This window comes from Homo sapiens, chromosome 22 (assembly GCF_000001405.40).
Source record: "Homo sapiens chromosome 22, GRCh38.p14 Primary Assembly".
Classification (NCBI taxonomy): domain Eukaryota; kingdom Metazoa; phylum Chordata; class Mammalia; order Primates; family Hominidae; genus Homo; species Homo sapiens.
In genome coordinates this window covers 47173133-47186303 of record NC_000022.11, presented here as the reverse complement: position 1 = coordinate 47186303, position 13171 = coordinate 47173133, and the positions used below count along the sequence as shown (strand labels likewise).

The window sequence follows — 13171 nt, the reverse complement described above, 5'->3', positions numbered from 1 at the left end:
CATTCCTACCAATAGTGTACAAGGGTTCCCTTTTCTCCTCATCCTTGCCAGCATTTGTTATTGCCTGTCCCTTGGATATAATCTATTTTAACTGGCATAAGATGATATCTCATTGTATTAATAGTTTTGATTTGCATTTATCTGACATCAGTGGTGCTAAGCACTTTTTCATAAGCCTGTATGACATTTGTATGTATGGCTTCTTTTGAGAAATGTATATTCAAATCTTTTGCCCATTTTTGATCAGATCATTAGATTTTTTTCCTGTAGAGTTGTTTGAGCTCCTTATACACTCTGGTTATTAATCCCTTGTCAGAGGAGTAGTTTGCAAATATTTTCCCCCATTCTGTGGATCGTTTCTTCACTTTATTGGTTGTTTGCTGTGCAGAAGCTTTTTAACTAATGTGATCTCATTTGTCCATGTTTGCTTTTGTTGTCTGTGCTTGTGGGGTATTACTCAAGAAATCTTTGCCCAGATCAATGTCCCGGAGATGTTCCCCAATGTTTTCCTGTAGTAGTTTCATAGTTTGAGGTCTTAGATTTAAGACTGTATTTTTTTTATTTTTGTATATGACAAGAGATACAGGTCTAGTTTCATTCTTCTGTATATGGAGATTCAGCTTTCCCAGCACCATTTATTGAAGAGACTATCTTTTCCCCAGTATTTTTGGCACCTTTGTCAAAAATGATTTCACTGTAGGTGTGTGGATTTGTTTCTGGGTTCTCTGTTCTGTTCCATTGGTCTATGTGTCTGTTTTTATGCCAGTACCATGCTGTTCTGGTTACTATAGCTCTACAGTATAATTTGAAGTCAGGTAATGTGATTCCTCCTGTTTTGTTCTTTTCACTTAGGCTAGCTTTGGCTATTCTGGGTCTCTGTGGTTCCATATAAATTTTAGGATTGTTTTTTCTATTTCCGTGAAGAATGTCTTTGGTATTTTGATAGGGATTTTATTGAATCTGTAGACTGCTTTGGGTAGTATGTACATTTTACCAATATTTATTCTTCCAATCCATGAACATGGAATATTTTTTCATTTTTTGGCGTCCTCTTCAATTTCTTTCATCAGCATTTTATAGTTTTCATTATGGAGATTTTTCACTTCTTTGGTTAAGTTCACTCCTAGGTATTTAATTTTATGTGGCCATGATAAATTAGATTACTTTTTAAATTTCTTTTTCACATTGTTTGCTGTTGGCATATAGAAATGCTATTGATTTTTGTATGATGATTTGTATCTTGCAACTGTACTGAATTTGTTTACCAGTTCTAATAGTTTCCTTCTGAAGTCTTTAGGTTCTTCCAAATATAAGATCATATCATCAACAAACAAGGATAATTTGACTTCTTCCTTTCCAATTTGGATATTCTTTATATATTTCTCTTGTCTGATTGCTCTAGCTAGGACTTCAGTATACTATGTTGAATAACAGTGGTGACAGTGGGCATCCTTGTCATGTTCCAGATCTTAGAGAAAAGGCTTTCAGTTGTTCCCCATTCAGTGTGATACTAGCTGTGGGTCTGTAGTATATGGCTTTTATTATGTTGACGTATATTCCTTCCATATCCAGTTTTTTTTTGAAGATTTTGATTATGAAAGGATGTTGAATTTCATCAAATACTTTTTCAGCATCAAATGAAATAATCATATGGTTTTTATCCTTCATTCTTTGGATATGATGTACCATGTTGATTGATTTGCATATGTTGAACCAGCCTTACATCCCAGGGATAAATCACATTTGGTCATAATGAATGATCTTTCTAACGTATTGCTGAATTCAGTTTGCTAGTATTTTGTGAGGACTTCTGCATCACTGATACATTGTCCAGTAGGTTTCTTTTTGATATGTCTTTGTTTTGGTATCAGGGTAATACTGGGCCTCATAGAAATCTGAGTTTGGAAACATTCCCTCCTCCTCTATTTCTTGGAATAGTTTGAGGAGGATTGGTATTAGTTCTTCTTTAAATGTTTGGCAGAATTCAGCAGTGAAGCAATGAGGTCCCAGGCTTTTCTTTACTGGAAGACTTTTCATTACAGCTTCTAGCTATGGTAATAGAGGTTTTTTTTTTTTTTTTTTTTTTTTTTTTTTAGATGGCGTCTCACTCTGTCACCCAGGCTGGAGGCTACAGTGTAATGGACAGCATGATCTCAGCTCACTGCAACCTCTGCCTCCCAGGTTCAAGTGATTCTCCTGCCTCAGCCTCCTGAGTTGCTGGAATTACAGGCATGTGCCACCACACCCAGCTAGTTTTTGTATTTTTAGTAGAGATGGGTTTTCACCATGTTGGCCAGGCTGGTCTCGAACTCCTGACTTCGTGATCTGCCCACCTCGACTTCCCAAAGTGCTGGGATTACAGGCGTGAGCCACCATACCCGGCCTCATCCCCCTACTTTTTAACTTTTTGTTGTTTCTATTTATATCTTATCATACTATGTCTTGAAAAGTTGTTGTAGTTATAATTTTTTATTGGTTCATTGTTTAGTCTTTCTACTTAGGGTAAGAGGAGTCTACACACCCCAGTTACATTGTCATAATACGTCGTGTTTTTCTGTGTACTTACTATTACCAGTAAGTTTTTTTGCCTTCAGGTGACTATTTATTGCTCATCAATGTAATTTTCTTTCTGGTTGAAATACTCCCTTTAGCATTTCTTGTAGCATGGTCCTGGCATTAATGAAATACCTCAGGTTTTGTTTGTCTAGGAAAGTCTTCATTTCTCCTTCATGTTTGAAGGATATTTTTGCTGGATATACTATTTTAGGGTAAAAGTTCTTTTCCTTCAGCACTTCAAATATGTCATGCTTCTCTCTCCTGGCCTGTAAGGTTTCCACTGAAAAGTCTGCTGCCAGACGTATTAAAGCCCAACTCTATGTTATTTGTTTCTTTTCTCTTGTTGCTTTTAGGATCCTTTATCCTTGATCTTTGGAAGTTTGATTATTAAATGCCTTGAGGTAATCATCTTTGGGTTAAACCTGCTTGGTGTTCTATAACCTTCTGGTTCTTGGATATTGATCTCTTTCTCTGTTATTATCCCTTTGAATAAACCTTCTACCCTTATCTCTTTCTCTACCTCCTCTGTAAGGTCAATAACTCTTAGATTTGCCCCTTTGAGGCTATTTTCTAGATCGTGTAGGCAGGCTTCATTATTTTGTATTCTTTTTTCTTTTGTCTCCTGCTTTTTTTTTTTTTAAATGGAGTCTTGCTCTGTTGCCCAGGCTGGAGCGCAGTCGCACAATCTCGGCTCACTGTAACCTCCACCTCCTGAGTTCAAGCAATTCTCCTGCCTCAGCCTCCCGAGTACCTGGGACTACAGGTGCCCACCACCATGCCCGGCCAATTTTTTTGTATTTTTAGTAGAGATGGGGTTTCACCCTATTGGCCATGCTGGTCTCGAACTCCTGACCTTGTGATCCACCTGCCTTGGCCTCCCCAGAGTGCTGGGATTACAGGCATGAGCCACCGCCCCTGGCCTCCTGTGTATTTTTAAACAGGCTGTCTTCAAGTTCACTAATTCTTTCTTCTGCTTGAACCATTTTGCTATTAAAGGAAGCTGATGCATTTTTCAGTAGGCCAATTGCATTTTTCAGCCCCAGAATTTCTGCGAATCACTTTTTAATTATTTCAAGCTGTTAAATTTATCTGATAGAATTCTGAATTCCTTATGTTATCTTGAATTTCTTTGAGTTTCCTCAATTTAGCTATTTTGAATTCTCTGTCTGAAAGGTGACATATCTGTTTCTCCAGGATTGGTCCCTGGTGCCTTATTTAGTTCACTTGGTGGGGTCATGTTTTCCTGGTTGGTGTTGATGCTAGCAGATGTTCTTTGATGTCTGGGTATCGAAGTGTTACATATTTGTTGTAGTCTTCACTGTCTGAGCTTATTTGTAGCCATCCTTCTTGGCAAGGCTTTCGAGTTATTTGAAAGGACTTGGGTGTTATGATCTAAGTCATTTCTCTTTTACGGAGCACCCCAACCCAGTAACACTGCGGTTCTTGCAGACTTATAGAGGTACCAGCTTGATGGTCTTGGATAAGACACAGAACAATTCTCTGGATTACCAGGCAGAGACTCTTGTTCTCTTCCCTTACTTTCTCCCAAATGCACAGTCTCTGTCTCAATTCTGAGCCACCTAAAGCCTTCAGGGCAGTGGGCTCCCCTCTGGAACAGGGCAAGCCCAGAAATGCCATCCAAGAGTCAAGTCCTAGAACTGGGGACTCAAAGAGCTCACTTGATGCTTTAACTCCCTGTGGCAGTGTTGGTACCTAAAGCCAGCAAGTCTCAGAGGCTCACCACGGCCCTTGATATAGTACCTGGGTATCACTGCTGGTTATTCAGGGCCCAAGGGCTCTTCAGTTAGCAGGTGATGAATGCTGACAGGACTGGGTCCTTTCCTTCAGGGCAGTGGATTCCCTTCTGGTCTAGGGTGTGTCTGATTTTTGGCTCTTACGAAGGCTGTTTTTTCTGTGTAGGTAGTTGTTAACTTGGCATCCTTGTGTGAGGGGACGATTGATTGGTGGAGATTTCTATTCTGCCACCTTGCTCTGCCTCTCCTGCTTCTATCAGATTTTGGCCATTCTGTGGGTAGTGGTATTTCATTGTTGAGCATATTTTGCAATATGCTAAGCATATTTTTGTGTGCTTATTTGCTATCTGGGTATCTTCTTGGGTGAGTTGTCCAGATCTTTTGCCCATTTTAAAGTTGGGCTGTTTGTTTTTTATTGTTAAGAGTTCTTTTTAAATTTTAGAGAGCAGTTCTTTATCAGGTATGTCTTTTGCAATTATTTTCTCCCACTCTATGGCTTGATTTTGGTTCTCTTGATGCTTGTAATATTTAAAATATCTTCAGCATCTGCAGTTTCACCTCCCTTCATTATTACAGTTGGATTTTAATCCTTAGGAGTTTATCTATTTGTCATTCAACAAACATTATTCAGCTCCTACTATAGACAGGTCCTGTTTCTGAATGCTGGAGATACACCAACTGCAGAAAAGGCAAAGATGCTTACTCTCAAGCCTCCATTATTAGTCTTGTCTAAAAGTAAACTTTTGGGTTTTTTTCAGTCAATTCCATTATTTGTGTTTTCTTTTCTACTCCAGTAACTTTTGTTTCTGTATTTATTATTTTGATTGTCTTTTTAAACCTTTTTCTCATTGGTCCATCATTTTCTGCAGATGAGTTATAATTTCCCATTATACTTGTGGATAGGTCAGTATTTCATCATCATTGTACCCACTTTTGCCTTGTTTATGCTGAGGTTAGGTTATGTTGTTATATCTACGCAGGTCCATGACTGAGTGAAACGCTTTTGGTCATATGACAAAGCACTTCACTCAGTCATGAGACAAAGCTCTCTTTGTCCTTGTTAATGCTTTTCAAATGTGATTTGGGGGAATACAGATATTCCAACCACATTTGGGGAGGTGGGTAGTATTTCCCCCATATTTTTTCCATCCCTCCATTTCAAACAAAATTTTTAGTCTTGATGTATCTCTCATCAATAGTATGTTGTTGGCTTTTATGGAGATTTTAAAAGCATAATGTATCTCCTTTTGAATAGGTGAGTGTAAATTATCTATCATGATCATAGCTGAACTTGCTTGGGCGCTGGTAATTAATGCTTTGTATTTATCATAGTTTTTCTTTGCTTTTTTTTCCTACCTCTTTTCTTGCCTTCTCAACTTTGTTCCTTCTTTTTCTTTTTCCCCTCTCCTGGAAGTTACACACTCAATTTCCAACGTTATCTTTAAATTTCTAAATAATTTCTCAAACTTATATTTTCTAAGACATTCCAAAGAAAACCAGATGAGCAGACCTGCAGCCACTGTTGCAAGCCACTGTGGGGTGGGGAGGGCGGCAGTGATTTTGCTGACTCCTGTATTCGGCAATAACTGAAGAATCCCACTACTAAAAATGTATTATGGAAAAAGTACCCAGAAATGTAGACATTTATCACAGCACCATTTGCTAGAGGAAAAAAATAGCAGCAACTTGATGAATAATAAAGGAATAAATTATGTGAATCCATGCAACTGCATATTATGCAGTCATTAAAATCACATTTTTGAAGAATTGTAATAATATGAGAAAATGCTTATGATCATAGCATCACAAAAAATCCCGAGTCAGTCTCTTTCTGTCTCTTTTGGTTGCAGCAGGGAGGAAACAGGTGCTCCACCACAATGGGAGTTTTGAGAGAGCCCATGTATGCAGCTCTGTGAGCAGCAGGGAAGGACGATTACCCAGAGATGCAGACACACCCATGAGAAGGGCTAGGACCGACCACACCCAGTGTGGGCAAGGATGTGGAGAAACGAGAACCATCGACCTGCCAGTGGAAATGTAAGCTGGAAAAGGTGCTTTGTAAAATCATTTCTCATGATCTATTAGAGGGAAGGATGCATGCCCTATGGCTCTGCAATTCCGCTTCTAGGGGAAAGAAAACCACAGAACGGGGGCACGTGTCCACCGAGAGACAGGCACGCAGATATTCAGAGGGGCATTGTTTATAACGCCCCCAAACTGGACACAATCCAAATGTCCAGCAGGAGTAGAAGGGACAAATTGCAATCTATCCATGTCATGGAAAACTTTACAGCAATGGAAAAGAAGAAACCATGCTTAATACCACACAGATACTCCCACAAACAGAAAGTTGAAGCCAGGCGTGGTGGCTCACACCTGTAATCCCAGCACTTTGGGAGGCCGAAGCGGGCGGATCACGAGGTCAGGAGATGGAGACCATCCCGGCTAACATGGTGAAACCCCGTCTCTACTAAAAATACAAAGAAATTAGCCGGGCGTGGTGGCAGGCACCTGTAGTCCCAGCTACTCGGGAGGCTGAGGCAGAAGAATGGCGTGAACCTGGGAGGCAGAGCTTGCAGTGAGCCCAGATTGCACCACTGCACTCCAGCCTGGGCGACAGAGTGAGACTCCATCTCAAAAACAAAACAAAACAAAAAACAGAAAGTTGAGCAGGAAGAGTTGTTCACAAGAGTATATATTGTATAATTCCATTCATATAATAAAAGTGTACAAATAAGCAGAACTAAAGGATGGTTTGGAAGTCAGCGGTGTGTCATGTTTGGGAGGAGGGAGCACACAGGGAGATCCAGTGTGGGTCATGTTCTATTTCTCAACCAGGGTTGTGGTTACATGGTGTATGAGACCATTCTCATGCTGTTAATAAAGACATACGTGAGACTGGGTAATTTATAAAGAAGAGAGGTTTAATAGACTCACAGTTCCACGTGGCTGGGGAGGCCTTACCATCCTGGCAGAAGGCAAGGAGGCACAACGTCATGTCTTACATGGATGGCGGCAGGAGAGAATGAGGGCCAAGCGAAAGGGGTTTCCCCTTACAAAACCATCCTATCTCGTGAGACTGATTCACTACCATGAGAACAGTGTGGGGAAAACCGTCGCCATGATTCAATTATCTCCCACCAGGTCCCTTCCACAATACATGGGAATTACAAGAGCTACAATTCAAGATGAGAATTGGGTGGGGATACATCCAAACCCTATCACATGGGGTGTCTGCTTTGTAATGATTCTCCGAGAGCTAGGTTTGTGTTGTGTCTGCCACTTCACAGCTTAAATGTAAAAACAGCAACAACGAAAAACCACTGCAAAATATTCAGAAAAAAATACAGACTAAAAGAGAGAGGGTATTTGTTTTGTATTGCTGCATAACAGATGATCATAGACACAGCCCAAGGTCACGCAGCCAGCCCTGGTGGGGGCAAGTGGCTGGTGAATGATTTTCATTTCTGTAACCATTGGTGATGTGAACTTCTCATGGGTCACCTGCACCACTTTTGTGAACTGCCCATTTTCTGTGCTGTGCCCATTTTTATCAATTTCCAGGAACTCCGCATGCTGAGGAATCTGAATCCGCCTTGCCTAGGTGAACCAGCGTGTCATTCACACTTGTCTTTGGTGATGAAGGTTGGGTCTTAGTCGTCCCTGCCATTTGCTTTGGTAGCGCATACTACGGATATATATCATCAGTCTTTTTCTATCTTGTTTTTGCCACTGGCGTCATGCTAAGAAAGCCTTTTACCATTCCCAATGATAAAAATAGCCATGTATTTTTGAGTATTTGGGGGTAATTTTTATATTTACATCCACTTATCTGGAAGTTGAATATAATTTTTTTTCCTAAAAGAATAATCAGGCCGGGCGCGATGGCTCACACCTATAATCCCAGCACTTTGGGAGGTCGAGGTGGGCAGATCAGTTGAGGTCAGGAGTTCGAGACCAGCCTGGACAACATGGTGAAACCCCGTCTCTACTAAAACTACTAAAAAAATTAGCTGCGTGTCATGGCGGGCACCTGTCATCCCAGCTGCTCGGGAGGCTGAGGCATTAGAATCACTTGAACCCAGGAGGCAGAGGTTGCAGTGAGCTGAGATCACACCACTGCACTCCAGCCTGGGCCACAGAGCAAGACCCTGTCTCAAGAAATAAAAAAATAAAAAAAGAAAGAATAGCCAGCCTCATCTTGTCAACAAAATGGACTACGGCTGGGTCACTCACACAGGACCATGTAAGCGGCCGTGTGCCTCCTGGGTGGAGGCCATCCTGTGCTGGGGACCCTCCATGCCAAGGAGCTGCAGGGTGGGTGTGGAAAGGCCTCACAGCTGAGTGGGGGCCACCCCAAGCAGCCCGCAATCCCGCAGGGCAAAGTGCAGAGCCAGAAGGAAGCCAAGGGGCTGGGGCTGAGAGAGGAGAGGAACGGTGGGGTGGACTGGGGCTGGGAAGGCCCCAGGGAGGTCCACACCCCGAGGGGTCTGAGTCTTGGGCAAACTCCCCAGGACTGCGGCCGAGAGCAGATCACTGGGGCCACAGGGCTGACGAGGAGCCTCCAGCTCTGGAGGACGGCGGCATGGAGGCTGGCATGCTGCAGCCTGCGATGGCGCGTGTCATTCTGCAGCCTGTCCCCAAGTCCTCAGCGGAGTGGGTCTGCTTGAACACAGACAGTATTCCTCCTGTTTCCATCCATCGGTGACACGGCACAGAAGCGTCCCACCTCCTAGTTCTTCCAAAAGTACAAACCACAGAGACTCTCCATCTCCTACTCCCCAGGACCCCAATGCTCCCCGACGCGTCTGACCTTGCCAAGGGCACAGCAGTGGTGCCAGCAGGCCGAGCCTCTCCCTGGGACCGGGCAGGGTGAGGTGCACAGGACAGCAGCCACCACAGGTCAGGGATTGATTTCAGGACCCCTGGGCTCGGGCCACCCACAGGAGCAGAGTCTGCACAGGCTGTGAAGACCTCAAGTTGGGCCCGAGGAGCCAACTGCTGAGCTGCAAACTCCGGGGAATCGTGAAGGTGAATGGCAGTTGCTGGGCTGTGACCTGGAGTCAGGAGCTGAACACCTGGTGGCTGCTGGGGACAGCCGATCTCCGTCCTGCAGCCTACGACCCTGCAGACCACAGCCAGGCAACAGTGAGGTCAGCCCATGTGCCGGGCCACCGGGCCCAGGAAGGCAGCCCTGCCTGGCTCAGCTCCGCACTGGGTCACTGTGGAAAGAGAGGTGAAGAGGCTACTCCCACTTTGTGGAGCCACCAGCCCACCCGTGGGGACAGGAGCACACCCCACACCTACGGGGACAGGAGCACACCCCACACCTGGTCAGTAGTGCGCACCCCACACCCGTGGGGACAGGAGCACACCCCACACCCGTGGGGACTGGAGCACACCCCACAGCCGGTCAGTAGTGCACACCCCACACCCGCGGGGACAGGAGCACACCCCACACCCGCGGGGACAGGGGCACACCCCACACCCGCGGGGACAGGGGCACACCCCACACCCGCGGGGACAGGGGCACACCCCACACCCGCGGGGACAGGGGCACACCCCACACCCGCGGGGACAGGGGCACACCCCACACCCGCGGGGACAGGGGCACACCCCACACCCGCGGGGACAGGAGCACACCCCACACCCGTCAGCGGACAGCACAAGGCAGTGGAAAGCCAAGTGCTGCCAAGGGAGGGTCCCGAGGGTGGGGCACCCAGGGGGGTGTGGGGTACCTGAGGGTGGGGCACCCAGACGGGGTTACTCAGAGGGGTGTGGCGCACCTGGAAAGCTGCCCTGAGAAACTGAGGCCCTTTGAAGGGCCTTGCTTCAGTAACACAGGGCAAGGAGGGTGTTTCAGTGTGTGGGTGAGGGTGAGGCAAGTGTATCCCAGGAGAGGCGGGGGGGACCCCAGACCCTGGTGCCTACCCCGGAACAGCCCTTTTCAAAGCAGGTGCTTGACAGATGTGGCCCAAGGGGAGGTCCCTTGTTCAGGAGCCTGACAGGGGCCAGCCTGGACCCCACACTCCCGTGTTCCAGCTAGTGCAGAGCCGGGCTTCGGGGGTCAGACTGGTTTCTGAGTCTTGCCCCGCCCGGGCAAGTGGCATCCCTGCACCACCTGAGCAGCTGCAGCCCCATCTCCCTGAGAGGTCCTGCGGGGGGCAGCGAGATCACGGGTGCTGCCGGGCCCACGCTGGTGCGCCGCAATGGCCCTGAGCTCAGACCCTCGGCAGGGCTGGGCCAGGGTGCCCCTGTCCTCGATGGGCAAGTCCTCGAATCACAGGCCAAGGCCGCGGCTTTGTCACTGATCTTTATTCCGTGTTTTTAGCGCACCACATCCAGACAGCACACCCCGAACATTCCAGATGGATCTGCTCAGACTTAAGGCCCGCGGCCAACACCTCTCACATTCAGTCTTGGCGTTTACATACATGAGGAAATGCACACAGGGCTGAACTCCGTGGAGCTTCCTGTTTAAAACATCAACCACCTCGAGAAGCAGGTCAGTTGTGTCCGCAGCCTTCTGGCCACACGGCATGATCTGAGCTGGAGAAGGGGATCCTCCCAGGGCTGATCTCGGCAAAGCGACATGGGGCTTCCTGCACACGGCCGAGGGGCGGCTCTTCTTGTGACGGAATCCCCTCCCCATCTAGAAAAGGAGGCGGCAGGAGGAGGAGGCATGGCTGGTCTGAGGAACCCTTGACCCTGGGGTGGGGACACGGAAGGCAGGGGTAAGGCGTGCCCGCATCTGATGTGAAGCAAGCCCATCCCTTTGCTGGTTTGGGAGCATCTGACGTTTGCACAGCATTTTGTGCTAATTTCCATGCTGTGTGTAATGACCCTGGATTTTTAAAACAGAAGCAGAAACACACACATCACTTATGCCTGTATGTCCCACAGTCTCTGGCAGTGTCCTAGGGCCTGGGAGAGGACACGGCTGCTCCTGAGGGACAGAGGAGAGTCTGGGAAGTCAGTCACCAGTGGGTCGCTGAGGACGTGAGCCTGTCCTGGGCTCAGGGATCAGACAGACTGTGGCTGTGGCCCTGCCCGCATTCCAGGGGTCATGCAGCCTGTGACACACCGAGGGAACGCTGGGAAGCCAGTCCCAAGGCCCCTGGAGCCAAGGACACAGCCCTAGCAGGGCGCTGGGCAGGGACCAGCTCTGGGCCCTTCCGCACTTAGAGCCCCAAGGAACCAGTCCACAGCGGGAACCAGTCCAGGGCAGAACCAGTATACAGCGGGAACTGGTCCACGGCGGGAACCAGTCCACGGCAGAACCGGTCCAGGGCAGGAGTGGTCCAGGGCAGGAGTGGTCCATGGCGGAACCGGTCCATGGCGGAACCGGTCCACGGAGGAACCGGTCCATGGAGGAACCGGTCCATGATGGAACCAGTCACACCTCCCCTACACCTGGCAGACCTGGACAAGGACAGCAAGTCCCAGGAAGTCTCCAAAAGCTCATTCCGCTTCCAGGCTGCGGTGAGAAGAGCACTGTGGTTCAGGGCTTTGATGACAGGGACGCGACCCCCTGCCCGTCTGCCAGCCCAACATGGCCCGACAGCCTGGGTGGGCCTCCAGGGGCTCTGGCTGAGGCCGGCGCCTACCTGCGTGGCGGGGCCACTTGGCCCTGGACCTCAGGGAGGTGGGGGTTTCTCTCTTGTAAAAGAGGTTCAAGGTGGAAAGTAAGGCGATGGCGAGGCCTCCCTCTGCTCCCAGCCTTTGGTCCCACGGCCTCCCAGGCACTCGGCGGGCTCACGGCTTGGACTCCAGCCTTCAGCTTCCCAGCCACGTTTAAACCAAGCAAGCAGGAAAACACACGGAGGGAAAGGGCCAGCAGCAGTGAAATACAGCTGTGAGGGGACCTCGCGGCACAGAGACCCCGGGTCAGCGCAACGTCTCGGTCTAGATTTTGTCTACATTTTATTCTTTCACTCAACAGAATAGAAGTTTTGCATTTCAGAGTAGGTATGAGATGGCCACTACCTCGTTCCGGCCCTGGCACCCAGACAGCAGGACTCCAAAGAGGGTCGGCCTCCTAGGCTGCCCCGGACTAGGGGCAGCACGAGGCAGTCATTTGGCAAGGACATTGCAGGGAGAGGGAGAGGGGACCCCTGACCTGCCTCTGGCCGCCGAACCCGGGGCCCTCCCCTGGCTCTCTTTGGTATCTCAGAAAACAAAGGCTGTCCCTGTCTTTGTCAGCCCTAGACCAGGTCTGTGGCCCATCTTCACCAGCTCCCCTGGAGGGTGGGGCCACCTCACAAGGCCTTTTAGCAGCCCGGGACCAGCTCACAGGGGCCTACCACCAGCCAGGCAGGTGGGGCGCGCCACCCGGGACAGTGAGGCCAGCTGCGGGTGGGCCTGGGCTCATTTCTTGTAGTGATTGGGGGCGTCGGCAAAAGCAAACTTGAGGCGGTAGGCCTCGGCCAGCAACAGGCTGATGTCCTCATCATCCCAGTGGGCTGTGGGCAGGTTCTGGAGGAAGAGCAGCAGCTCCTGGGGAGAAAGAGACAAGCCCAGGTCAGAGGAGGTGACCCACGGTGGAGGGCGGGTGACCCCAGAAAACTGGAGGGAAAGATACAAGCCCAGGTCAGAGGAGGTGACCCACGGTGCAGGGCGGGTGATCCAGGAAAACTGGAGAGAAAGACACAAGCCCAGGTCAGAGGAGGTGACCCACAGTGGAGGGTGGGTGACCCAGGAAAACTTGCCCAGCCGGCAGCTGCTCCCTGCTCAACCCCAGAAGGGCCCCAGGCCTCGCCCCACGGCCACCGCCCCATCCCAGCAGCCAGGCAGGAGGCCCACTGCGCAGCTCCAAGTCCGGCATCTGAGATGTCGTGGCAGGGGCCGCCCAGAGCTTCATT

At 48.5% G+C, this 13171-nt stretch overlaps 1 protein-coding gene across 7 annotated transcripts in view, besides 1 other annotated feature; it reads right to left on the bottom strand.

Annotated features, from left to right (window-relative positions):
• Positions 9363 to 10453: an enhancer, noted in NCBI's record as "CDK7 strongly-dependent group 2 enhancer chr22:47571494-47572693 (GRCh37/hg19 assembly coordinates)". NCBI's record gives its function as "activates an origin of replication core promoter dependent on BRD2, BRD4, P300/CBP, MED14 and CDK7 cofactors, with strong dependence on CDK7, by STARR-seq in HCT116 cells {active_cell/tissue: HCT116}" and the evidence as "EXISTENCE:reporter gene assay evidence [ECO:0000049][PMID:35650434]".
• Positions 10605 to 13171, bottom strand: part of TBC1D22A (TBC1 domain family member 22A) — a 413050-nt gene continuing 410483 nt past the window's right edge. For 6 of the 7 annotated variants that reach the window (NM_001284304.2, XM_017028742.3, NM_014346.5 and 3 more), the window contains one exon: positions 10611 to 12806. In NM_001284304.2, the coding sequence (NP_001271233.1) occupies positions 12678 to 12806 (129 nt within the window). In that variant the 3' untranslated portion in view covers positions 10611 to 12677. 7 annotated transcript variants of the gene reach the window in all.